The sequence below is a fragment of the Homo sapiens genome, chromosome 7 (genome assembly GCF_000001405.40).
Source record: "Homo sapiens chromosome 7, GRCh38.p14 Primary Assembly".
Taxonomy (NCBI): Eukaryota; Metazoa; Chordata; class Mammalia; order Primates; family Hominidae; genus Homo; species Homo sapiens.
In genome coordinates this window covers 99,682,850-99,709,928 of record NC_000007.14, presented here as the reverse complement: position 1 = coordinate 99,709,928, position 27,079 = coordinate 99,682,850, and the positions used below count along the sequence as shown (strand labels likewise).

At 41.1% G+C, this 27,079-nt stretch overlaps 3 protein-coding genes and 1 pseudogene across 6 annotated transcripts in view; 3 read left to right on the top strand and 1 right to left on the bottom strand.

The window, feature by feature from the left end:
* Nucleotides 1–4,893, top strand: part of CYP3A7 (cytochrome P450 family 3 subfamily A member 7) — a 30,161-nt gene extending 25,268 nt beyond the window's left edge. Inside the window, exons 11-13 of the mRNA NM_000765.5 lie at nucleotides 668–894; nucleotides 1,955–2,117; nucleotides 4,334–4,893. Of these exons, the coding sequence (NP_000756.3) occupies nucleotides 668–894; nucleotides 1,955–2,117; nucleotides 4,334–4,429 (486 nt within the window). The 3' untranslated portion in view covers nucleotides 4,430–4,893. The remainder of the gene's footprint in view (nucleotides 1–667; nucleotides 895–1,954; nucleotides 2,118–4,333) is intronic.
* CYP3A7-CYP3A51P (CYP3A7-CYP3A51P readthrough) overlaps nucleotides 1–25,252 on the top strand; it is a 50,520-nt gene extending 25,268 nt beyond the window's left edge. Inside the window, exons 11-15 of the mRNA NM_001256497.3 lie at nucleotides 668–894; nucleotides 1,955–2,117; nucleotides 4,334–4,414; nucleotides 14,083–14,183; nucleotides 24,694–25,252. Of these exons, the coding sequence (NP_001243426.2) occupies nucleotides 668–894; nucleotides 1,955–2,117; nucleotides 4,334–4,414; nucleotides 14,083–14,183; nucleotides 24,694–24,703 (582 nt within the window). The 3' untranslated portion in view covers nucleotides 24,704–25,252. The remainder of the gene's footprint in view (nucleotides 1–667; nucleotides 895–1,954; nucleotides 2,118–4,333; nucleotides 4,415–14,082; nucleotides 14,184–24,693) is intronic.
* The window catches only part of ZSCAN25 (zinc finger and SCAN domain containing 25), a 121,090-nt gene that overhangs the window by 28,107 nt on the left and 65,904 nt on the right, over nucleotides 1–27,079 (bottom strand). The gene's annotated exons all lie outside the window — the stretch shown is intronic.
* On the top strand, nucleotides 9,809–24,905 carry CYP3A51P (cytochrome P450 family 3 subfamily A member 51, pseudogene; annotated as a pseudogene).

Here is a 27,079-nt window from a genome sequence, read left to right as displayed (position 1 = left end):
TTGTCATATTTGGGATAGAAAGGGACTAGTTTTTCCTCAAATTATTGATAGAGATTTTATATAATATAGTGTTTCTCTCCACATTTTATGTATATAACAAAAGCCCTGCTTTTGTGTATATATGCATATATATATATATACACACACACACACATATATATAATACAAATCCTGCTTTGTAACTGTTTTTGTTTGTATATATAACAAAAAGAGTTATGAACCAGAAGTTTGGCCAATAATCCTTGTCGCACAGAGAATTTGCTTTTTCTATCTGTTTTCACTTCCTTGGTTACAGACGTGTAACCTCTTTTTTGAATGGTGACAATCACTTTGTCATATTTTATTTGATGCTAGTGGTCATAGCCTATTAGTCATGTTTGCTTCCATGAGAAAGAAAAACCACTACATGGTTATGCTAAGGATTTCAGTCATTGGGGTTAGAGCCTTCCCGAATGTCTCCTGCTTTCATAACTCCTCCACACATCTTAGTGGGCCATTGAGCACATCAAAGGGCATGACAGTTATTAAAATACTTTATGAATGCTACAATCCTTTGCCAGTATGAGTTGTTCTCTGGAACTTCTAACAGTTCAACAGTACTACATGGACTGAGTTAAAAGTTAATTCAAAAATCTCAATTTATCCAAATCTGTTTCTTTCTTTTCAGGCACCACCCACCTATGATACTGTGCTACAGTTGGAGTATCTTGACATGGTGGTGAATGAAACACTCAGATTATTCCCAGTTGCTATGAGACTTGAGAGGGTCTGCAAAAAAGATGTTGAAATCAATGGGATGTTTATTCCCAAAGGGGTGGTGGTGATGATTCCAAGCTATGTTCTTCATCATGACCCAAAGTACTGGACAGAGCCTGAGAAGTTCCTCCCTGAAAGGTAGGAGGCCCCTGGGAAGGGAGCCCTCCCTGAACCAGCCTGGTTCAAGCATATTCTGCCTCTCTACAGGACAGTCTGGGCTTGTACAATCGTTTGCTTGTCTTTTTATGTTTAAAAGGTTTTTTCAAATCATGAAATTGATCATTGTCACACTTTACAAACCACAGACTAGATAAAAGAAAACTATAGCCAGTCACAGTCCCAGCAACTTAAGATGAAGGTCCTCAATTATGTCCTTATGGGTCATAAGTGTCCAAAATGTAAGGACTCTTTTAAAAACACATGATCACAATGCTATTATTATGTCCCACAAATGAATATTTTTTCCTGAATATACTCAAATCTTCAGGAATCAAATTTGAATAAAAAACATGCGTCTAATCTTCAAAGAATTTATAGGTTAGTGCAACAGATAGACAAAGAAAGCAGTGATGACACTGCTTTCCATCAATACAGTAGCATCATATGCCTGTGTAAATTATCTGACTTAAACTATTCTATGGAGGTGTGGGGGAGAAAGAAGGAGAGATGGAGATTAGAAGAAGGAGGAGAAGGAGGAGAGAAGGAGGGGTAAGACAAGGTAGGGAGGAGAAGGAGGAGAATTAGAAAAACAAGAGACGAGAGGAGAAGGAAAGTGCAAAATAACAATTTTGAAGTAGTGCAAGACAATTTCTTCTCCTTCCTCATGACCAACATAAGGGTGACTTGAGGCAGGAATCTACTTTTCTGTCAGTCATTCTCATCACTTATGTGCCTTTTGTAGTGTGAACACATCACCATCCTGACTATAATTTGAGTGTTTAGAAATAAATATACTTTGCAACAGTATTTATCTCCTCTCAACAAGACTGAAAGCTCCTATAATGTAAGGAGAGTAGAAAGGATCTGTACCTTACAATTCTCATAGCAAAATATGCATAGCAGGATTTCAGTGACTAGCCCACAAAAGTATCCTGTGTACTGCTAGTAGAGGGGTGGGCCCTAAGTAAGAAACCCTAACATGTAACTCTTAGAGGTATTATGTCTTTAACTTTTAAAATATCTACCAATATGGAACCAGGTTCAGTAAAAAGAACAAGGACAACATAGATCCTTACATATACACACCCTTTGGAAGTGGACCCAGAAACTGCATTGGCATGAGGTTTGCTCTCGTGAACATGAAACTTGCTCTAGTCAGAGTCCTTCAGAACTTCTCCTTCAAACCTTGTAAAGAAACACAGGTCAGTCAATTTTCTGCATTAATAATGTTTTATTAACAATTATTTTAACTGAATGGTCTATATATTTAAAAAAGAATACACTCACTTAATCTTTTAATAATTTGTTCTATGGGCCAAGGAATCTATTTGGACCCATCTATGATCTTTAAGGGTGCTTCAGTTCTGGAGTTCAAAAGCTGTAGCATTAAAAACATCATGCAATGTCAATGTAGACTAGCATGACATGATTATCTACAGTCTCCTTGAACTTGAGCAAAATTAAATTCAGTTTCAAGTCAATTGGAAAGATGGGGAAGTATTTTGCACAATCATGAGGTGCACTTATTATCTTGTTTTGACTTTTGAATGATGCTCTTCCTTCCCAGAACTTGTAGAAGTTTTCTCATGACAGTGGCTCCCAACCACTAGCTGTACATTGGAATCACCAGGGAGCTTTAAAAATTCATGATGCCTGGAACATCTCAGAAATTCTAAACTAATTTGCCCAGAGTGTGGCTTTAAAAGCTCCCCCATTGCTTCTCATGTGAAGCCAAGGTGGAAAATGACTAATTTAAGGTAGTTCTATTGGATACGAAGGACTACCACAGTCCAAGGCCATCCTTACTGACCTCACCTTCCAGGTGCCTAGCTCCAACCAACTGGGCTCCTTTTCAACTCAATTATAACTCTGCTAATCTTCTTTCCTTTCTTCTCCTCATTCTGTTCTTATCTTTCAAGTCCTAGTTCAATTCCCAAGCCCCTCCAAGGTGTCTTCTTGACCTAGTCCAGGGCTCATTTACTCCTCTGCTCTGTTATTAGTTACTGGAGGCTATTATCATATAATTTCATAATTTGCCATTAAATCATTGAGTTTTGTTCTCTATATTTTCTCTTTATCTAAGAATGTCTTCCCCCCTCCATTAACAATATCTTCTCATTTTATTCCATTTAAAATATCCCAGTGGTGCCTTGCAAGTGACCTCATCTAACTCAAGCATTTGGTCATTTGGTAAATGTTTAAGGAGTGATATGCAGTCGATTGGTTTGCATACAAATATTAAGTTTTTTAATGTGAACATTTAGCAAATGACATTCATGTATTTGCATGTGTGTGTGCTTGCACATGTGCACATGCATGTCTGTCTGCAGGGAAAATATATTCATGCCTTTTGAAAATTTTTAAATAATGTGTTATATTTATAGAAAGATTTGGAACCTTTTCTCTGAAGAAGTTAAAGAACAGATGTCATTGATTCATATTAAGCAAGACCCTATAAATCTTATTTCTAGGTCTCATGTATTTATTAAGCAACTCCACACCTTAAGCAGGCTTTCTACATAGAAGAGGAAGAAGATAGAGATGGTTTCCATATTATTTTCATATTCCACATTATTTGTGGCTTTAGGCCAGCTATGTAGCTATCCTGTATGTGTGCTCAGACAGGAGACTCAGCCCTGAGAGAAGGCGGTCCTCTGGCACACCTAGGATGGGGAAGGTACTCCCTTGGAAGTCCCAAGCTGGCACTTCTGGATCTCCATGGCAATTTTCTTGCCCATCACTCCATGGAGATCAGAATATCACTCTATTGTGTCCCCTCAACACTGAAGGAGTGTCTCAATAAGAAAAGTTGAGTCAAAACACTGTAGGAATTGAGAGGTTCCCCACTTGCACTACCCTTGTAAACCAAGAGAAGATGTTAAAAAATAAAACGATAATGCTTCCTGAAGGTGTCTTCCCATCTTTACACTAGATGGGTTCAATTGAGAGGAATTACTGGACTGTGGAAGTTGAAGACTGTCCACATAATTAAAATGTACAATAGCTACTCAGGATTACCTTGCAAGTTTCAACATACACAAAATTAACTTCATAAGATGGTTTAAAAAGTTTACCGTTATACCTAATAATCTGGTTTAAATTTTTAAAACTCATCCATTTTCGTTAAAATTTAAATCAAAAAAGAACACGGGTTCCCATGAATTTGTCTCAGGTCAAACCTCACACAGAATAGGTGCTCCATGAATATTTTGTTAAATGATAGATGATGAATGTTCTCACTATCCAATCTTCACACATCTTATAGAGTAAGTATAACGAATCCAAGATTTATAGTGCTGAAAGTAGTTTTTATATGTTTACAAAGCATTATTGTCAGTAATTTTTTTTTACTTTGATGCTATACTTTCTACTTTTGCTTTATTTAATGCTTCTCAATATGCTCGTTTAACTGTTGCAGATCCCCCTGAAATTACGCTTTGGAGGACTTCTTCTAACAGAAAAACCCATTGTTCTAAAGGCTGAGTCAAGGGATGAGACCGTAAGTGGAGCCTGATTTCCCTAAGGACTTCTGGTTTGCTCTTTAAGAAAGCTGTGCCCCAGAACACCAGAGACCTCAAATTACTTTACAAATAGAACCCTGAAATGAAGACGGGCTTCATCCAATGTGCTGCATAAATAATCAGGGATTCTGTACGTGCATTGTGCTCTCTCATGGTCTGTATAGAGTGTTATACTTGGTAATATAGAGGAGATGACCAAATCAGTGCTGGGGAAGTAGATTTGGCTTCTCTGCTTCTCATAGGACTATCTCCACCACCCCCAGTTAGCACCATTAACTCCTCCTGAGCTCTGATAACATAATTAACATTTCTCAATAATTTCAACCACAATCATTAATAAAAATAGGAATTATTTTGATGGCTCTAACAGTGACATTTATATCATGTGTTATATCTGTAGTATTCTATAGTAAGCTTTATATTAAGCAAATCAATAAAAACCTCTTTACAAAAGTATTATTGGATGTTTCCTGCACATTAAGGAGAAATCTATAGAACTGAATGACTGAGAACCAACAACTAAATATTTTGATCATTGTAATCACTGTTGGTGTGGGAACTGGAGTGCAGTGGTGCAATCTTGGCTCACTGCGAGCTCTGCCTCCCAGGTTCACGCCATTCTCCTGCCTCAACCTCCTGAGTAGCTGGGATTACAGGTGCCTGCCACCACGCCCGGCTAATTTTTCTATTTTTAGTACAGACGGAGTTTCACTGTGTTAGCCAGGATGCTCTCGATCTCCTGACCTTATGATCCACCTGCCTGGGCCTCCCAAAGTGCTGGGATTACAGGCATGAGCCACGGTGCCCAGCCCAATTTGATTATTAACATAGGTGAGAGTTAACCCACTATGACTTTGCCCATTGTTTAGAAAGAATATTCATAGTTTAATTATGACATTTTTGATGAGACACAGTGGCTCACACCTGTAATCCCAGCACTTTGGGAGGCCAAGGCAGGCAGATCATCTGAGGCCAGGAGTTCAAGACCAGCCTGACCAACATAGTGAAGCCCCCTTTCTACTAAAAATACAAAAATTAGCTAGGTATGGTGGCACACGCCTGTAATCTCAGCTACCCAGGAGGCTGAGGCAGGGGAATTGCTTGAACCTGGGAGGTGGAGGCTGCAGTGAGCCAAGATCATGCCACTGAACTCCAGCCTGAGTGACAGAGTGAGACTGCATCTAAAAAATAAAATTATGCCTTTTTGTAGCACATATATTTTGTAACATACAACTGAAGCCAGTATTATATTATTAGTTTTCATTTAATGTTTTCAGCCCATCTCCCCTGATATTTCTGGGAGACAGGAAATATGTTTTCTTACACCTCTTGCATTCCATCCTCAACTCCCAACTGTCTAAATGCAATGAACATTTAATAAAAAAAACAGTTGATTGGTCAATTGATTGGACAACAAGGCTGAAACTACTCATTTCTTTTCTTTTCCTATTTCTTCCTTTATTTTCCCTTTCTGAATAATTTAGCCCTAGAGCCATTAGGTGGGTGGCAGCCAGATGGTGGCCACACATTAAGGTAGAGAAGAGAGTCATGGTGGTTCCAAGTCAGAGACCAAGTAGGATGAGGACAAACTGGGTGTTCATGTGGAAACAGCCTGCCTGGGTGTGGGAGTCCAAGCAAGCAGAGAAGGGGTTCATAGAGAGGTGTGGCCTACAAGAGCAGCCAGAGCCTAAATAGAGCATGGAGAACCCATGTGAGGTCAGGAGGGCATCCATGAGTGGGAAGTGATGGGTGAGGTTTGGTTACATAAAGGGGATTTATCAAAGAAGTAAATATATTAAGGATGATAGAAGCCAGGCTTCTCATCTTTGAAGAACGGAGTCATGGATTCAGAAAGGGAGAAAACTAGCATGAATCCTATGAAATTAGATTGGAATGGATGTATTCGTGTATATTCATACCCTTCTAGATGGATAGATGGGTAGATAGGTGATAGATAACAGATATACGATAGATATATAGATAGATGAAATGTATACATGTGTTTGTGTGTGTGTACAAAAAAAACCATATATTTCCTACTTCTCTTCACTGATAGGTCTAGGTAACAATGACATTTCAATAGCAATGAGCACACTTAGCGCCCAAGTCTTGGCTTATGAATACCATATTCCATGGAAAGGAACCAGAGCTCTTTAGAGAAATGCCTGATTCCAGGGCCAGGGTTAAGAAGGTTCAAGACAAGCCTAGGACACATTTTGTGCCAGGAAGCAAGAAAATGTTCAAATGATTTCCAAGTAATGTTTGGAAATGATATTTGAAAAAGACCCTCCAAATGATAACTCCAAATTATTTTCAAATGATATTTGCAAAAACCTAAAGACTCCACCAAGGAACTACTAGAACTGATAAAATATTCAGTAAAGTTGCAGTTGCAGGATACAAAATCAACATACAAAAATTAGTAGCATTTCTATATGCCAATAGTGAACAATTTGGCAAAAATAAAAAAGTAATCCCATTTACAATAGCCACAAATAAAACTAAATACCTAAGAATTAACTTAATCAAAGAAGAGAGAGATCTCTATAATGAATACTGTAAAACACTGATGAAGGAAATTGAAGAAGACACAAAAACAGAAGGATATTCCATGTTTACATATTGTAAGAATCAATATTGTTAAAACTGTCCACACTACCCAAAGCAATGTACAGATTCAATGCAATCCCTCAAAATACCAATTACATTCTTCAAAGAAATAGAGGAAAAAATTCTAACATTTCTATAGAACCACAAAATACCCAGAATAGCCAAAGCTATCTTCAGCAAAAAGAACAAAACTGGAGAAATCTTATTACCTGACTTCAAATTATACTACAGGGGTATAATAACCAAAACAGTATGGTGTTTGTATAAAAACAGACACATTGACCAATGAAATAGAATAGAGCACCCAGAAACAAGTCCACACACCTGGAGTGAACTCATTTTTGACAATGTTTTCAAGAACATACACTGGGGAAAAGACGGTCTCCTCTGGTGCTGGGAAAGCTGGATATCAATATGCAGAAGAATGAAACTAGACCCCTATATCTCACCAGACACAAAAATCAAATCAAGGTGGATGAAAGACTGAAATCTGGCCAAACACGGTGGCTCATGCCTGTGATCCCAGCACTTTGAGAGGCTGAGGCAGACAGATCACTTGAGGTCAGGAGTTCAAGACCAGCCTGGCCAATAAGGTGAAACCCTATCTCTACCAAAAAATACAAAAGTTAGCTGGGCATGGTGGTGCATGCCTGTAGTCCCAGCTACTCAGGAGGCTGAGGTGGGAGAATCACTTGGACCCATGAGGCATAGGTGGCAGTGAGCCAAGATCATACCAATGCATGCCAGCCTGGGCAACAGAGTAAGACTCTGGTTCCAAAAAAAAAAAAAAAGACTGAAATCTAAGATCTCAAATGATGAAACTGCTACAGGAAACATTGTGGAAACTCTTCAGGACATTGGTCTGAACAAAAAATGCTGAAGTAATACCCCACAAGCACAGGCAACCAATGCAAAAATGGACAAATGGAATCACATCAAGTTAAAAAGTTTCTGTGCTGCAAAGAAAGCAATCAACAAAGTGAAGACGCAAACCACAGAATGGGAGAAAATATTTTCAAACACTCTGACAACAGATTAACATCCAGAATATACACAGAGCACAAACAACTCTTTGGAAAAAATTCAATAATCCTAATAATCAAAAAATGGGCAAAATATTTATACAGACATTTCTCAAAAGAAGAAATACAAATGCCACATAGTTATATGAAAATGTGCTCAACATCATTGATCATCAGAGAAATGCAAATCAAAACTACAATGTCATCTCTCCCCAGCTAAAATGGTTTTAATCCAAAAGACAGGCAATAACAAATGCCAGTGAGAATGTGGAGAAAAGGGAATTCTCGTACACTGTTGGTGTAAATTATTACAACCACTATAGAGAACAGTTTGGAGGTTCCTCAAAACATTAAAATGGACCTATCATAAGATCCAGAAATCCCGGTGCTGGGTATAAACCAGGAAGAAAGGAAATCCATATATTGAAGAGATATCTTCATTCCCATGTTCCCAATAGCTGCTATTCACAAATGCCAAGATTTGGAAGCAACCTACATGTCCATCAACAGATGAATGGGTAAAGAGAGTACTTCACTTATGCACAATGGAGTACAATTCAGCCATGAAAAAAGCATGAGATCCTGTCCTTTATAATAACGTGGCTGGAACTGCAGGTCATTATGTTAGGTAAAATAAGCCAGGCACACAAAGACAGACATTGCATGTTCTCACTTATTTGTGGGATCTACAAATCAAAACAATTGAGCTAATGTCTGGGTCTTAGTCAATTTTGTACCCTAAGTACAGGGAGCACAGCCATTAGAATACATGATGAATGCTTTAATACAGGAATGAATAGGTGAGAGGCACAGGGTGGTTGGGTGTTCTTCTGATACATAGTATCTTCCTTGACACATTCAGTACAACTCTCAACAGGTAAGTCTCTTCATGTATGTTACCTTCTGAGGAATTAAGTGGCAGAACATGCCTTCTATTATTTTCCTTTGCAGAACAAGACCAATTGCATTAGTTGGGAAACAGTGCTGGCTGCATCTGAGCCCCAAGCAACCATTAGTCTATTGCTATCACCACAGACTCAGAGGGGATGACACACAGGGGCCCAGCAATCTCACCCAAGTCAACTCCACCAACATTTCTGGTCACCCACCATGTGTACAGTACCCTGCTAGGGTCCAGGGTCATGAAAGTAAATAATACCAGACTGTGCCCTTGAGGAACTCACCTCTGCTAAGGGAAACAGGCACAGAAACCCACAAGGGTGGTAGAGAGGAAATAGGACAATAGGACTGTGTGAGGGGGATAGGAGGCACCCAGAGGAGGAAATGGTTACATCTGTGTGAGGAGGTTGGTAAGGAAAGACTTTAACAGAAGGGGTCTGTCTGGCTGGGCGTGCAAGGATGTGTAGGAGTCATCTAGGGGGCACAAGTACACTCCAGGCAGAGGGAATTGCATGGGTAAAGATCTGCAGTTGTGGCTTGTGGGGATGGATTTCAAGTATTCTGGAATGAAGACAGCCATGGAAACAAGGGCAGGTGAGAGGATATTTAAGAGGCTTCATGCCAATGGCTCCACTTCAGTTTCTGATAAGAACTCAGGTTCCGTGGACTCCCTGATAAAACTGATTAAGTTGTTTATGATTCCCCATAGAATATGAACTCAAAGGAGGTAAGCAAAGGGGTGTGTGCGATTCTTTGCTACTGGCTGCAGCTGCAGCCCCGCCTCCTTCTCCAGCACATAAACATTTCAGCAGCTTGACCTAAGACTGCTGTGCAGGGCAGGGATGCTCCAGGCAGACAGCCCAGCAAACAACAGCACACAGCTGAAAGTAAGACTCAGAGGAGACAGTTGAAGAAGGCAAGTGGCGATGGACCTCATCCCAAATTTGGCGGTGGAAACCTGGCTTCTCCTGGCTGTCAGCCTTGTGCTCCTCTATCTGTCAGTAACTGTCCAGATTCCTCTCCTCTGTTAACTTGGACTTGGGGTGCTACTCAGGCCCCTGTTCCCTCATCTGTTTTAAAGATCAAAAGAGATGTTCAAGGAGGAGTAGCTTCTTGGATGCTACAAACACATAGAGGTTATTATTGATCTTATGCAGATTTATGAAGAAATAAATAAGCATTTGTCCCAGCCACCTTCTAATTTTGGTGACTAGGAGGGTTTGGGGACAGCATTTGTTAGTGGGAATGATTTGATTAGCTTAGATTTGACCTATACTAATCAATGAAAATGAAAACCCAGCAAAGGCAGATTACAAACTGCTGAACAAGACGAGAAGTGTGATCCTCATCCCCTTCCCAGGTTCTCGGGATTCTGGGGGCAGGAGGGAGCAGCTTGGGTTTTTGTCTCATTACCTTCATTTTCTGGGTTCTCTGTCTGCTGGAAGAGATGTGTAGAAGTTTTTCCTCTGTGGACCTGGTGGTTCCTGCTCCCCTAACTTCCACCCCAGGATATCATTTACATAACACACCGGGGAACACCAAGACTTCACGGGAAGCTGTCCCCCGGCTCTTCCCTCTTTCCTGTGCCATGTCCCAAAACATCCCCTCCCTCCTATGACTCACTCCTCCACCCTGTCATACACAGAACTATTTACCTTGCAATGATTAATCTCCAGAGCAAAGGAGACTTGGAGGAAGTTTTGAAGATTTATTCTTTGCTTTAATCTTTTTCCTCCCGTCTCTGGGAGGCTAGCATTAATATAGAGCTTTGTTTCTCAGCTAATGGGAATCTGCTAGCAGCCTGAAAAGGCAGGAGCTGTGAAAGCCAATTTGGATTTTACACATTTTTTCCCCTTTGTGTTACAGTAAAGGAGGATGAACCCTCTCACTGGTGGGATTCCTGGCATCCTAGAGCAGGTGGAGAGAAGAGTTACTTTCCACTGTGGTTAGTGGAGGCTCCACCTGTCCCATTAACTTCTACCTCAATTTGACTTTTAAGAGCAGGCAACAACAATGACATGAAAATAGGAAATATAAACTTCATTTTAATTTTTTCACAGAAAGCTTAGGAATTCAGTGAGTTGTGGCAACATGGTTTCCATTGTCTAACATTTTAAAATGAATTGATATGGTTTAAATTCATTCATTTTTAAATCAGAATTTTTTGGAGATGGAATATTTCCAGCATGTTCCTTCTGGATGATGAAAGAGGGCTGTTAGTTCAGTATTTGTGACAATAAATGTGTGTAAAATAACATCACCTCTCCAGAATAATGTCAGGAATATGAGTCTAAAGCATGAATGTATATCGCTAAGACAAGACTGCGATATACATATTTATGTATATCTTTTTATATTTAAAAAGATATGTCTTTTTAAATATACATGCCTGACAGTTTATTTTAATACCTCCTTTTTGAATATACCTGCTTAGCAGGTTATCTTAAACTGTCAGGCAGGGGAGTAAGCAATACTGTGAGCTAGTGATGATAGCAAAGGCATCCACGTAGGATCCGTATGAAGTAAGAAAATATTCCTCAGCTCTCAGGGTAGAACTCCAAAGAGATATTCATGGGTCCTGGCCCCACAGTGGAGGTCACTCAAAAGGCAAACAGGTTGGCATCTCATCTGCTTCAAGCCTGGACACAGGGACATCAAATGTGTCACTGTGTGCGTGGTCTGCCATGTTGTGGGGCGGTCACTACAGACTCGGGCAGCCAGGCAGACAATGCCTTAGCCTTAGACAATGCTGGTGCAGCCCAGGAGTCAGAAACTGTAGTGTAGACCATGCCCTCCTTAGGCCAACACAATTACGTGCAATAGATGACTGGCTTTTCTGTTAGCCTCTTCATTGGAACCAAAAGTGGTATTACTCTACCAGAGGGGAGCTAGAAAGAAACTAAACAGTTTGCCCAGCACAGCCTCTGCCTTGACATGGAACCATGTGAGTCTAGACACTCACCTAGATCTTTCCTTGGGGGACAGTGCTGCTGACAGATTAACTCAATAGTTTGTCCTGACCTGAGAGATCACGTAACTTCTAGAAAGTGTAGAAGCAGAGATTAGTGTCATTGATTTGCCATAGCTGTGACAATAAAAGAAGGAACAGGAGTAGAAAACCCAAGGCCACCCTGGTTTCAGTAGATGGTGCACACATTTCCACTAACTATTCTGGGGCAAGGATCCAAATGCACTATATGCTGCCTCTGCTGGGATCTCCAAACACGACCCTCCATGCCATTTCTCAGTTGTATTTTACCACATATTATCAGAGTCACTGGATTTGTACAGAATGTTTGGAACCTATACTGCCTTAAGTGCTACCCATTATAGAAGAGAAAACAAGGTCTTCATTCAACTGTCTGGAACATTTTATGTTTACTTATGTGGAATACTGTACCTTTTGCTATCAACAGGAAGGTACCTGGACATTAGAAGGTGCCTGTCTTTCAGCTGAAAGCACACATGACGCATATGGATCCATTTATATACACCATACTTTTCAGCCACATTTTCCTAATTTGCCTCTCTGGGACCAACCTTGTGGGACTAGCAGATTCACGGTTGAGTTGATGGCTGGTGATGTCTGCCATCAGCCTTTCTTCTTCCTCCAGTCTTCCACCCCTCAGTAACATCAGACTGGGAAGGTCTTCAGATATCCAGAACCCTCAGTTGGGGGAGTCCATACATGACCCATCAAAGATGAGTTGCAAGCAGGCCTGCCATAGGGAGCAGCAGCCTTAATGGGTTTTCCTACAGAGATACTTGATGTGCAGAGGCAATAAACTGACTGCTTTGTGATTGATCACCTTGAAAAAAGTGAGCATATCTGGGTGTATTAGTCCTTTCCTACATCGCTGTAAAGAAATACCTGAGGCTGGGTAATTTATAAATAAAAGAGATTTAATTGGCTCATGGTTCTACAGGCCCTACAGGAAGCATAGCGACTTCTGCCTCTAGGGAGCCCTCAGGAAATGTTCAATCATGGCAGAGGGTGAAGGAGAAGTAGGCAGATATTACATGGCTGGAGCAGAAGCAAGAGAGGGTGGGGAGGAGGTGCCACACACTTATAAGCCACCACATCTCATAAAAACTCATTGTCACGAGGAAACACCCAAAGGGGGTTGGTGTGAAACCAGGAGAAACTGCCCCTAAGATACAATCGCCTTCCATCAGGCCCCACCACCAGCATTGGGGATTACATTTCCACATGAGATTTGCGTAGGGGCAGATTCAGACCATATCACTGGCAGTGTGCTTATTATCAGGTGAATACCACCAGTTGGAAGGCTAGATTCCACAAGAGGAGGAATGTCCTGGAAATTGGTTTTTTAAGTTGTGGATCTTCTGCACACTGTCATTCAGGGAAATATGAGTTAATCATCCTCCCCAATAGCGCAAATCAACCAGATCATCTGGCCACAGAGACTGAGGTGTAGCTGAAAGGTGCTTGCATTTCTACGAGGCCAATGGAAGCCTTCAGCACAGTTGTCAATCTGTAGAAATAAGGACTCTGTGACTCCTCTGACACCCCTCTATGAATGACAGTTTAAGAAGGGCCAGATCCTAAAATAGGGTCAGAGCTTAGAGGGAAAGGAAAGTATAAAAGACTCTTCACAAATTCTAAAGACATGGTCACCATAGGCTCTCAGTGACCCTCTGTGACTGAGTGGATGCAGTGATGCAAAATCTCATCATCACTGCAGAAGAGAAAAAAAAAAAAAGTCACCCTTTCTGCCTAGGATGAGAATCCCCAAATCAGGGAAGAGTCCACTTACTAAATAGACATAAGGAAATGAAGTGCCCTGGAAGAATTCCTTCCTGAACCTCTGAGGAGCACTCACGTTTGAGGACATTTATCAAGTATTCATTCCAGGATTGGGACCATAAAGACTTCTGCTGCTTTCGACTAATCATTGTGACTTTTTGGTGTCTCATGGTGGAGACGGGAAAGGACTTGATGTACAAATATAATCATTGCTGTCAGAGTTACTGTTATCATTTATTGCCTTAATGTTACCTCCTTCTCTTGAGCATTCCAGTTCCTCAGTCAGTGACTTACCAGCCCCCATATCTATAAAGTCACAATCCCTGAGACCTGATTTCTGATTCAGTTTGTAGATATGGAGCCCATTCACATGGACTTTTTAAGAAGCTTGGCATTCCAGGGCCCACACCTCTGCTTTTTTTGGGAACTACTTTGTCCTACCATCAGGTGAGTGTTTTTGAGCTCACTCTTTGGCTTCTTATGATTGGAGAGAGCAGCTTAGTTCCATCAGTAAAACTGCTTCTCCTCAGGAGGAAGGTCTGAGGTTTTACACTTTCAGAAACAGTGTATAGGCATCATCCAGAGCATGGCAAGGTTTACCCCGGGACTCTCTTGCTAACTCTCAGGAACCTCAGGTTTGCCTCAGTTGAACAGTCCAAATCTCAGGTATATCGGCAACCTGATGTTCAGAACTTGATGTGCAGACTTTGTGAGCACCATAAAGAACATTTTTCTTTTGCCCCATGTAGGTTCCCAGGAAGGTACAGTCATATTTAGTTAGTATTAAGAGTAGGAAAAGGAGCCCCCATTTGTGGCTTGCTATCTGTGTACATGAGAGTCAAACTTTCCTCTCTATAGCAAGAGCTCAGGAGTAGCCTTTTTCCCCTACCTCCTGGACAGCTTTGAAACTCACTTTATTAGGGAGCTCAAGTATTTACCATTGGGTCATTCGCACTTGCTTGAATCCTCTCCAAAAAATGCTAAATCCCCTGAAGGTATTTCCATGGCTCTACCCCAGCTCTTACTCCCCATGACATCTTTTGCAGCTTTGGGAGTCAGAGCAAAGGTGTTCTGCTTTACTTCTTTTATTTCAAAGGCTGCACCTTATGGGTGAGTCTGAGCAGGGAGTGGATATAACTGAGATGAGATAGTGGTTATCTATCAAACTCAGATATTTAAGCATAAAATGAATTTGTGGTTTTTTTTTTAAACAAAGGCAGAATCATATGCAAAATCACTAGAAAGGTGATAATTTGATGAAATTATTAAATATTTAATTTTGCTGAATAAAATGTCATATGTGCCACATGGACTGTGAACTTTGGTCGAGCCTTTGTGCCTAACCTGGTCTGATGCTCTGTCTAGGGCCTGGCCTCTGGATGGAAAATTATGAGCTTATCTCCACAGGGCCAGCAGCAGCAGTAGTCAGCTCTGTGGCTTAGATCATCTTTCCCGCATACCTGAGGCTTGTTTCCCTGATTCCAATTCTTCCAAGTGAGGGTTTTGTTGTCTAATTACTGCCCAGGAATTTCATATTTTTCCCTTTGCAAAAGCAATAATTTCCCCGCCACCTTTTCTAGGTCAGTTCTTTAGTAGATGTACCCCCCAAGATAAACATTCCTGGGATCTTTGTTTGCACAGGTAAAACATCAACCCTGAAATGTAGAAAACAGGAAAGTTTGTTTTTCAGTTTCAGTGAAAACGCTGAGCAAGTGTTGTAATTTGCTGTGTCCAATGTGTAGAGGGGACATTTTCTCAGAACTTCCATGTTAAGCTGGAAAACTGGAAAGTGAGTCCACTTTGTCATTCTGTCACTCACTCCTTTTCTCACTCAACAACATGCCTCAGACTTATCTAAATCTGCTAGACTAAAAGAGGTCCCTGATGTCTGTAACTTCCTAATTCTGCTAGAATTCTAGAGCGAGCTGATGAAATAAATGAAAAGGATGATGAACAGAGATAAAAGACTGTGCATTCCCTTCTGACACTCACTCTCTTTCCCTCAGCCTCAGTTTCCCCATGTGCCCCTGGAGGTGATCATTCAAGGATTTATGAGATTTTAGAGACAATACATGAAAAAGCAAAAAGGCATCAGAAAGACAAGGAGTTACCTAGTTTACACACAATGATAAGTCATTCAGTATCTACAGCACTTTGAGAAAATTCAAGAGTGATTTTAAATTTCCCATTTCAAATACCTCCTCTGTTTTCTCTCCTTTCCCTTATGATGTCTCCAAATAAGATTCCTCTAACTGCCAGCAAGTCTGATTTCATTGGATTCAACTGTTTTCAGCCCCAATTAGACGCAGGGTTAAGTATATTTGAAATATTAATCAAGGGAAGCATTTCCAAGATGGCCGAATAGGAACAGCTCTAGTCTGCAGCTCCCAGCAAGATTGAGGCAGAAGATAGGTGACTTCTGCATTTCCAACTGAGTCTTAGCAACAGGCAGACCAGGAGATACCCTCCCGTGCCTCGATCGGCAGGTGCCACACCCACGGAGACTTGCTCACTGCTAGTGCAGCAGTCTGAGATCCACCTGATATGCTGCAGCTTGATAGAGGAGGGGTATCAGCCATTGCTGAGGCTTGAGTAGCTTACTGTGTAAACAAAGAGGCCTGGAAGCACGAAGTGGGTGGAGCCCACCGCAGCTCAGCAAGGCCTACTGCCTCTGTAGATTCCACTTCTGGGGGCAGGGCAGAGTAGAACAAAACACAGGAGACAGACAGCCTCTGCAGACTTAAACGTCCCTGTCTGACAGCTCTGAAGAGAGCAGTGGTTCTCTCAGCACGGTATTCGAGCTCTGAGAACGGATAGACTGCCTCCTCAAATGTGTTCCTGACCCCCCTGTAGCCTGACTGGGAACCACTTTCCAGTAGAGGCCGACAGACACTTCAAACATGCGGGTGCCCCTCTGGGATGAAGCTTCCAGAGGAAGGATGAGGCAGAAATATTTGCTGTTCTGCAGCCTCTGCAGGTAATACCCAGGCAAACAGGGTCTGAAGAGGACCTCCAGCAAACTCCAAAAGACCTGCAGCTGAGGAGTCTGACTGTTAGAAGAAAAACTAACAGACAGAAATAGCATCAACATCAACAAAAAGGACATCCACACCAAAACCCCATTTGTAGGTCACCAACATCAGAGACCAAAGATAGATAAAACCATAAAGATGGGAAGAAACCAGAGCAAAACAGCTGAAAATTCCAAAAAACAGAGCATCTCTTCTCCTCCGAAAGATCACAGCTCCTCACCAGCAAGGGAACAAAACTGGACAGAGAATGAGTTTGATGAGTTGACAGAAGTAGTCTTCAGAAGGTCGGTATTAGCAAACTTATCCGAGCTAAAGGAGCATGTTCTAACCCATCACAAGATAGCTAACAACCTTGGAAAAAGGTTACATGAATGGCTAACTAAAATAAACAGTGTCAAGAAGACCTTAAATGACCTGACAGCTCAAAACCATGGTACAAGAACTTCGTGATGCATGCACAAGCTTCAATAGCCGATTCGATCAACTGTAAGAAAGGATATCAGTGATCAAAGATCAAACTAATGAAATAAAGCAAGAAGACAAGATTAGAGAAAAAAAAGTGAAAAGAAATGAACAAAGCCTCCAAGAAATATGGGACTATGTGAAAAGACCAAATCTACATTTGACAGGTGTATCAGAAAGGGACAGGGAGAATGGAACCAAGTCAGAAAACACTCTTCAGGATATTATCCAAGAGAACTTCCCCAAACTAGCAAAGCAGGCCAACATTCAAATTCAGGAAATACAGAGAACACCACAAAGATACTCCTCAAAAAGAGCAACCCCAAGACACATAATTATCAGATTCACCAAGGTTGAAATGAAGGAAAAAATGTTAAGGGCAGCCAGAGAGAAAGGTCGGCTTCCCCACAAAGGGAAGTCCACCAGACTAACAGCAGATCTCTCAGCAGAAACCCTACAAAACAGAAGAGATTGGGGGTCAATATTCAACATACTTAGGGAAAAGAATTTTCAACCCAAAATTTCTTATCCAGCCAAACTAAGCTTCATAAGTGAAGGAGAAATAAAATACTTTACAGACAAGCAAATGCTGAGAGATTTTGTCACCACCAGGCCTGCCTTACAAGAGCTCCTGAAGGAAGCACTAAACATGGAAAGAAAGAACTGCTACCAGACACTGCAAAAACATGCCAAATGGTAAAGACCATCGATGCTATGAAGAAACTGCATCAATTAATGGGCAAAATAACCAGCTAACATCATAATTGCAGGATCAAATTCACACATATCAATATTAACCTTAAATGTAAATGGGCTAAATGCCCCAATTAAAAGACACAGACTGATGAACTGGATAAAGAGTGAAGACCCATTGGTGTGCTGTGTTCAGGAGACCCACCTCACATGCAAAGACACACATAGGCTCAAAATAAGAGGATGGAGGAAGATCTACTAAGCAAACAGAAAGCAAAAAAAAGCAGGGGTTGCAATCCTATTCTCTGATAAAATAGACTTTAAACCAACAAAGATCAAAAAAGACAAAGAAGGCCACTACATAATGATAAAGGGATCAATTCAACAAGAAGAGCTAACTATCCTAAATATATATGCACCCAATACAGGAGCACCCAGATTCATAAAGCAGTCCTTAGAGACCTATAAAGAGACTTAGACTCCACACAATAATAATGAGAGGCTTTAACACCCCATTGTCAATATTAGACAGATCAATGAGACAGAAGGTTTATTTTATTTTATTATTATTTAAGTTTTAGGGTACATGTGCACAATGTGCAGGTTTGTTACATATGTATACATGTGCCATGTTGGTGTGCCACACCCATTAACTCGTCATTTAGCATTAGGTATATCTCCTAATGCTATCCCTACCCCCTCCCCCTACCCCACAACAGTCCCCGGAGTGTGATGTTCCCCTTCCTGTGTCCATGTGTTCTCATTGTTCAATTCCAACCTTTGAGTGAGTACATGCGGTGTTTGGTTTTTTGTCCTTGCGATAGTTTGCTGAGAATGATGGTTTCCACCTTCATCCATGTCCCTACAAAGGACATGAACTCTTCATTTTTTATGGCTGCATAGTATTCCATGGTGTATATGTGCCACATTTTCTTAATCCAGTCTATCGTTGTTGGACATTTGGGTTGGTTCCAAGTCTTTGCTATTGTGAATAGTGCCACAATAAACATAAGTGTGCATGTGTCTTTATAGCAGCATGATTTATAATCCTTTGGGTATATACCCAGTAATGTGATGGCTGGGTCAAATGGTATTCCTAGTTCTAGATCCCTGAGGAATCGCCACACTGACTTCCACAATGGTTGAACTAGTTTACAGTCACACCAACAGTGTAAAAGTGTTCCTATTTCTCCACATCCTCTCCAGCACCTGTTGTTTTCTGACTTTTTAATGATCACCATTCTAACTGGTGTGAGATGGTATCTCATTGTGGTTTTGATTTGCATTTCTCTGATGGCCAGTGATGATGAGCATTTTTTCATGTGTCTGTTGGGTGCATAAATGTCTTCTTTTGAGAAGTGTCTGTTCATATCCTTCACCCACTTGTTGATGGGGTTGTTTTTTTCTTGTAAATTTGTTTGAGATCATTGTAGATTCTGGATATTAGCCCTTTGTCAGATGAGTAGGTTGCAAAAATTTTCTCCCATTCTGTAGGTTGCCTGTTCACTCTGATGGTAGTTTCTTTTGCTGTGCAGAAGCTCTTTAGTTTCATTAGATCCCATTTGTCAATTTTGGCTTTTGTTGCCATTGCTTTTGGTGTTTTAGACATGAAGTCCTTGCCCATGCCTCTGTACTGAATGGTATTGCCTAGGTTTTCTTCTAAGGTTTTTATGGTTTTAGGTCTAACATGTAAGTCTTTAATCCATCTTGAATTAATTTTTGTATAAGTTGTAAGGAAGGGATCCAGTTTCAGCTTTCTACATATGGCTAGCCAGTTTTCCCAGCACCATTTATTAAATAGGGAATCCTTTCCCCATTGCTTTTGTCAGGTTTGTCAAAGATCAGATGGTTGTAGATATGTGGCATTCTTTCTCAGGGCTCTGTTCTGCTCCATTGGCCAATATCTCTGTTTTGGTACCAGTACCATGCTGTTTTGGTTACTGTAGCCTTGTAGTATAGTTTGAAGTCAGGTAGCGTGATGCCTGCGGCTTTGTTCTTTTGGCTTAGGATTGACTTGGCAATGCGGGCTCTTTTCTGGTTCCATATGAACTTTAAAGTAGTTTTTTCCAATTCTGTGAAGAAAGTCATTGGTAGCTTTATGGGGATGGCATTGAATCTATAAATTACCTTGGGCAGTATGGCCATTTTCACAATATTGATTCTTCCTACCCATGAGCACGGAATGATCTTCCATTTGTTTGTATCCTCTTTTATTTCATTGAGCAGTGGTTTGTAATTCTCCTTGAAGAGGTCCTTCACATCCCTTGTAAGGTGGATTCCTAGGTATTTTATTCTCTTTGAAGCAATTGTGAATGGGAGTTCACTCATGATTTGGCTGTTTGTCTGTTATTGGTGTATAAGAATGCTTGTGATTTTTGTACATTGATTTTGTATCCTGAGACTTTGCTGAAGTTGCTTATCAGCTTAAGGAGATTTTGGGCTGAGACGATGGGTCCTGGACTTTTTTGGTTGGTAAGCTATTGATTATTGCCACAATTTCAGAGCCTGTTATTGGTCTATTCAGAGATTCAACTTCTTCCTGGTTTAGTCTTGGGAGGGTGTATGTGTCGAGGAATTTATCCATTTCTTCTAGATTTTCTAGTTTATTTGCATATAGGTGTTTGTAGTATTCTCTGATGGTAGTTTGTATTTCTGTGGGATGGGTGGTGATATCCCCTTTGTCATTTTTTATTGCATCTATTTGATTCTTCTCTCTTTTCTTCTTTATTAGTCTTGCTAGCGTTCTATCAATTTTGTTGATCTTTTCAAAAAACCAGCTCCTGGATTCATTAATTTTTTGAAGGGTTTTTGTGTCTCTATTTCCTTCAGTTCTGCTCTGATTTTAGTTATTTCTTGCCTTCTGCTAGCTTCTGAATGTGTTTGCTCTTGCTTTTCTAGTTCTTTTAATTGTGATGTTAGAGTGTCAATTTTGGATCTTTCCTGCTTTCTCTTGTGGGCATTTAGTGCTATAAATTTCCCTCTACATACTGCTTTGAATGTGTCCCAGAGATTCTGGTATGTTGTGTCTTTGTTCTTGTTGGTTTCAAAGAACATCTTTATTTCTGCCTTCATTTTGTTATGTAGCCAGTGGTCATTCCAGAGCAGGTTGTTCAGTTTCCATGTAGTTGAGCAGTTTTGAGTGAGCTTCTTAATCCTGAGTTCTAGTTTGATTGCACTGTGGTCTGAGAGACAGTTTGTTATAATTTCTGTTCTTTTACATTTGCTGAGGAGTGCTTTACTTCCAACTATGTGGTCAATTTTGGAATAGGTGTGGTGCTGAAAAAAATGTATATTCTGTTGATTTGGGGTGGAGAGTTCTGTAGATGGCTATTAGGTCTGCTTGGTGCAGAGCTGAGTTCAATTCCTGGGTATCCTTGTTAACTTTTGGTCTCGTTGATCTGTCTAATGTTGACAATGGGGTGTTAAAGTCTCCCATTATTATTGTGTGGGAGTCAAAGTCTCTTTGTAGGTCACTAAGGACTTGCTTTATGAATCTGGGTGCTCCTGTATTGGGTGCATACATATTTAGGATAGTTAGCTCTTCTTGTTGAATTGATCCCTTTACCTTTATGTAATGGCCTTCTTTGTCTCTTTTGATCTTTGTTGGTTTAAAGTCTGTTTTATCAGAGACTAGGATTCCAACCCCTGCCTTTTTTTGTTGTCCATTTGCTTGGTAGATCTTCCTCCATCCCTTTATTTTGAGCCTATGTGTGGCTCTGCATGTGAGATGGGTTTCCTGAATACAGCACACTGATGGGTCTTGACTTTTTATCTAATTTGCCCATCTGTGTCTTTTAATTGGAGCATTTAGCCCATTTACATTTAAGGTTAATATTGTTATGTGTGAATTTGATCCTGTCATTATGATGTTAGCTGGTTATTTTGCTCGTTAGTTGATGCATTTTTTTCCTAGCCTTGATGGTCTTTACCTTTTGGCATGTTTTTGCAGTGGCTGGTACCAGTTGTTCCTTTCCATGTTTAGTGCTTCCTTCAGGAGCTCTTTTAGGGCAGGCCTGGTGGTGACAAAATCTCTCAGCATTTGCTTGTCTGTAAAGGATTTTATTTCTCCTTCACTTATGAAGCTTAGTTTGTCTGGATATGAGATTCTGGGTTGAAAATTCTTTCCCTTAAGAATGTTGAATATTGGTCCCCACTCTCTTCTGCCTTGTAGAGTTTCTGCCAAGAGATCAGCTGTTAGTCTGATGGGCTTCCCTTTGTGGGTAACCCGACCTTTCTCTCTGGCTGCCCTTAACATTTTTTCCTTCATTTCAACTTTGGTGAATCTGACAATTATGAGTCCTGGAGTTGCTCTTCTCGAGGAGTATCTTTTTGACATTCTCTGTATTTCCTGAATCTGAATGTTGGCCTGCCTTGCTAGATTGGGGAAGTTCTCCTGGATAATATCCTGCAGAGTGTTTTCCAACTTGCTTCCATTCTCCCCATCGCTTTCAGGTCCACCAGTGAGACGTAGATTTGGTCTTTTCACATAGTCCCATATTTCTTGGAGGCTTTGTTCATTTCTTTTTATTCTTTTTCTCTAAACTTCCCTTCTCGCTTTATTTCATTCATTTGATCTTCCATCACTGATACCCTTTCTTCCAGTTGATCGCATCAGCTCCTGAGGCTTCTGCATTCTTCATGTAGTTCTCAATCCTTGGCCTTCAGCTCCATCAGCTCCTTTAAGGACTTCTCTGTATTGGTTATTCTAGTTATCCATTCATCTAATTTTATTTCAACTTTTTAACTTCTTTGCCATTGGTTTGAAGTTCCTCCTGTAGCTTGGAGTAGTTTGATCGTCTGAAGCCTTCTTCTCTCAACTTGCCAAAGTCATTCTCCATCCAGCTTTGTTCCATTGCTGGTGAGGAGCTGCATTCCTTTGGAGGAGGAGAGGCACTCTGCTTTTTAGAGTTTCCAGTTTTTCTGCTCTGTTTTTTCCCCATCTTTGTGGTTTTATCTACTTTTGGTCTTTGATGATGGTGATGTACAGATGGGTTTTTGGTGTGGATGTCCTTTCTGTTTGTTAGTTTTCCTTCTGACAGGACCCTCAGCTGCAGGTCTGTTGGAGTTTGCTAGAGGTCCACTCCAGACCCTGTTTGCCTGGGTATCAGCAGTGGTGCCTGCAGAACAGCAGTGGCTGTAGAACAGCAGATATTGGTGACCTGCAAATGCTGCTGCCTGATCGTTCCTCTGGAAGGTTTGTCTCAGAGGAGTACCTGGCCGTGTGAGGTGTCAGTCTGCCCCTACTGGGGGGGGGGTGCCTCCCAGTTAGGCTGCTCAGGGGACAGGGACCCACTTGAGGAGGCAGCCTGCCCGTTCTCAGATCTCCAGCTGCGTGCTGGGAGAATGACTACTCTCTTCAAAGCTGTCAGACAGGGACATTTAAGTCTGCAGAGGTTACTGCTGTCTTTTTGTTCATCTGTGCCCTGCCCCCAGAGGTGGAGCCTAAAGAGGCAGGCAGGCCTCCTTGAGCCGTGGTGGGCTCCACCCAGTTTGAGCTTCCCAGCTGCTTTGTTTACCTTATCAAGTCTGGGCAATGGCAGGCACCCCTCCCCCAGCCTCACTGCCGCCTTGCAGTTTGATCTCAGACTGCTGTGCTAGCAATTAGTGAGACTCCATGGGCATAGGACCCTCCGAGCCATGTGCAGGATATAATCTCCTGGTGTGCCGTTTTTTAAGCCCGTTGGAAAAGCACAGTATTAGGGTGGGAGTGACCTGATTTTCCAGGTGCTGTCTGTCACCCCTTTCTTTGACTAGGAAAGGGAACTCCTTGACCCCTTGCGCTTCTCAAGTGAGGCAATGCCTCGCCCTGCTTCGGCTTGTGCACAGCACGCTGCACCCACTGTCCTGCACCCACTGTCTGGCACTCCCTAGTGAGATGAACCCGGTACCTCAGATGAAAATGCAGAAATCACCCGTCTTCTGTGTCACTCACACTGGGAGCTGTAGACCGGAGCTGTTCCTATTCGGCCATCTTGGCTCCACCCCCCGAGTTTTGGCTTTTAATTGAAAGTGTATTGATGTGGGAAGGAGATAATGCCATGCATTTATGAGCACATATTAGAGGGTCTGAGACAATGCATGTGATAAAAGGTCACCTAAGGAAGAAAAAAAGAACAAGGGAAGACACTGGAAAGAACGTGATGCTGGGAGTCCCTGGGCCACCAAAGTCTGGAGAAAAGTGGTAACCACAAGGCTCCCAGCCTAGTTTCACTGAAGACCTCGACACTAGGTGACTTATGGGATCCTTGGTAGGACAAGCCTTGAAAAGTTTTACAATAGCAAATGTGGACGTTGTCAGAACCAAATGATGTCACGTGTGTATTTGTGTGTGTGTGTCAGTGTGTGTGTTTAAAAATCATGACAAATAAAGCAGGCTGTGAAGAGGGGATTCCCATGCTCGTGTGCCTGATAACACAACTATCACAAACGCTTTGCGAAACCACAAGTTTGCACAAAGGCAATCCCAACCTTACACAAAAATATTTCTGCAAGGGCACCTGCCCAGCGACTGCCTGTCCAACCTTGGTGTGGTGTCACCCTTGTTATTGATCTTTTAGCAAAGGAGAATTATTTCAAAACTGATATGAAATCCTCCTCATATTTTCCTTGGAACATCTTTGTCTTGCTTTACCTCCCTGAATTTCCACATAGTTTGTAATGGTCACAAACTATGTGCATAGTCAGCAATACATTTTTTGTTTACTTTGATGCTACAGTTTCTAATTTTGCTTTATTTAATGCTTCTCAATATGCTTGTTTAACTGTTGCAGATCCCGCTGAAATTACGCTTAGGAGGACTTCTTCAACCAGAAAAACCCATTGTTCTAAAGGTTGAGTCAAGGGATGGGACCGTAAGTGGAACCTGAATTTCCCTAAGGACTTCTGCTTTGCTCTTCAAAAAAGCTGTGACCTAGAACACCAGAGACCTCAAATTACTTTGTGAATAGTACCCTGAAATGAAGATGGGCTTCATCCACTGTACTGCATAAATAACCAGGGATTCTGTACATGCACTGAGCTCTCTCCCTGTCTGTGTAGAGTGTTATACTTGGGAATATAAAGGAAGTGACCAAATCAGTGCTTGGGAAGTAGATTTGGCTTCTTTGTTTCTCACAGGACAATCTCAGCCACCCCTAGTTAGCACCATTAACTCCTCCTGAGCTCTGATAAAAGAATCAAAATTTCTCAATAATTTCATCCAAAATTATTAATGAAAATAAGAATTATTTTGATGGCTCTAACAGTGACATTTATATCATCTGTTTTATCTGGAGCATTCTATAATAAGTTTATATTAAGCAAATCAATAAAAACCTCTTACAAAAGTATCATCGGATACTTTCCTGAACATTAAGGAGAAATCTATAGAACTGAATGAATGAGAACCAACAAGTAAATATATGTGATCATTGTAACCATTGTTGGTGTGGGGCATTTGTCAGAACTCCAATGTGATTATTAACATAGGTGAGAATTAATCCACTGTGACTTTGCCCATTGCTTAGAAAGAACATTCATAGTTTAATTATGCCTTTTTTGACCAAGCACAGTGGCTCATGCCTGTAATCCCAGCACTTTGGGAGGCCGAGGTGGGTGGATCACCTGAGGTCAGGAGTTCGAGACCAGCCTGACCAACATGGTGAAACCCCATCTCTACTAAAAATACAAAAATTAGCTAGGTGTGGTGGTATGCACCTATAATCTCAGCTACCCAGGAGGCTGAGGCAGGAGAATCACTTGAACCTGGAGGCAGAGGTTGCAGTGAGCCGAGACGCACCATTACACTCCAGCCTGGGTGACAGAGTGAGATTCCATCTCAAAAAAAAAAAAAAAAAATTATGCCTTTTTGAAGCACATACATTTTATAACATACAACTGAATCCCTTATTATATTATTAGTTTTGATTTAATGTTTTCAAACCATCTCCCCTGATATTTCTGGGAGATGGGAAACATGTTTTCTTACACCTCTTGCATTCCATTCTCAACTCCCAACTGTCTTACTGCAATGAACACTTAATAAGAAACAGTCAATTGGTCAATTGATTGGGCAACAGGCTAAACACACTCATTCCTTGTCTGTTCCCACTTCTTTCTTTACTTTCCCTTCCTGAGTAACTTATCCTAAAGTCATTAGGTGGGTGGCAGCCAGATGGTGGCCACACATTAAGGTAGAAAAGAGAGTGTCATGATGGTTCCAAGTCAGAGACCTAGTAGGGTGAGGATCAAGTAGGTGTTCACGTGGAGAAACAGCCCGGCCTGTGTGTGGGAGTCCAAGCAAGCAGAGAAAATGTCGACACAGAGGGGTGGCCTGAAAAAGCAGCCAGAGCCTAAACAGGGCATGGAGAACATATTTAGGGCATGAGGTGAGGAGGGCATCCATGAGTGGGAAGGGATGGGTGAGGTTTCACTACATAAAGGGGATTGATGAAATAAGTAAATAAAGTATACTGGAAGCCAGGTGTGTCACTTTTGCAGAAAAGAGTCATGGATTCAGAAAGGGAGAAAACTAGCAGGAATCCTATGAAATTAGATTAAAATGGATGTATCCATGTATATTCATACCCTTCTAGATAGATAAATGGTTAGATAGGTGATAAAAAGATAACAAGAGGACAAGATAATTAGATAGACATAAATGTATGTATGTGTTTGTGTGTGTGTACAAAAAAACATATACTCCCTACTTCTCTCCACTGATAGGGCTAGGTAACAATGGCATTTCAATAGCAATGAGCACACTTAGTGGCCAGATCTTGGCTTATTAATACCATTTTCCACTGAAAGGAACCAGAGCTTTTTAGAGAAATGGCTGATTCCAGGGCCAGGATTAAGAATGTTCAAGATAAGCCTAGGATACATTTTGTGCCAGGAAGCAAGAAGATGTTCAAATGATTTCCAAGTAATGTTTGGAAATGATATTTGAAAATGATTTCCAAATGATATTTCCAAATGATTTCCAAATGATATATGGAAACACTTAAAGACTCCACTAAAGAACTATTAGATCTGATAAACAAATTCAGTAATGTTGCTGGATACAAAATCAACATACAAAAACCAGTAGCATTTCTGCATGCCAACAGTGAACAATCTGGCAAAAATAAAAAATGTAATCCCATTTACAATAACCCCAAATAAAACTAAATACCTGGG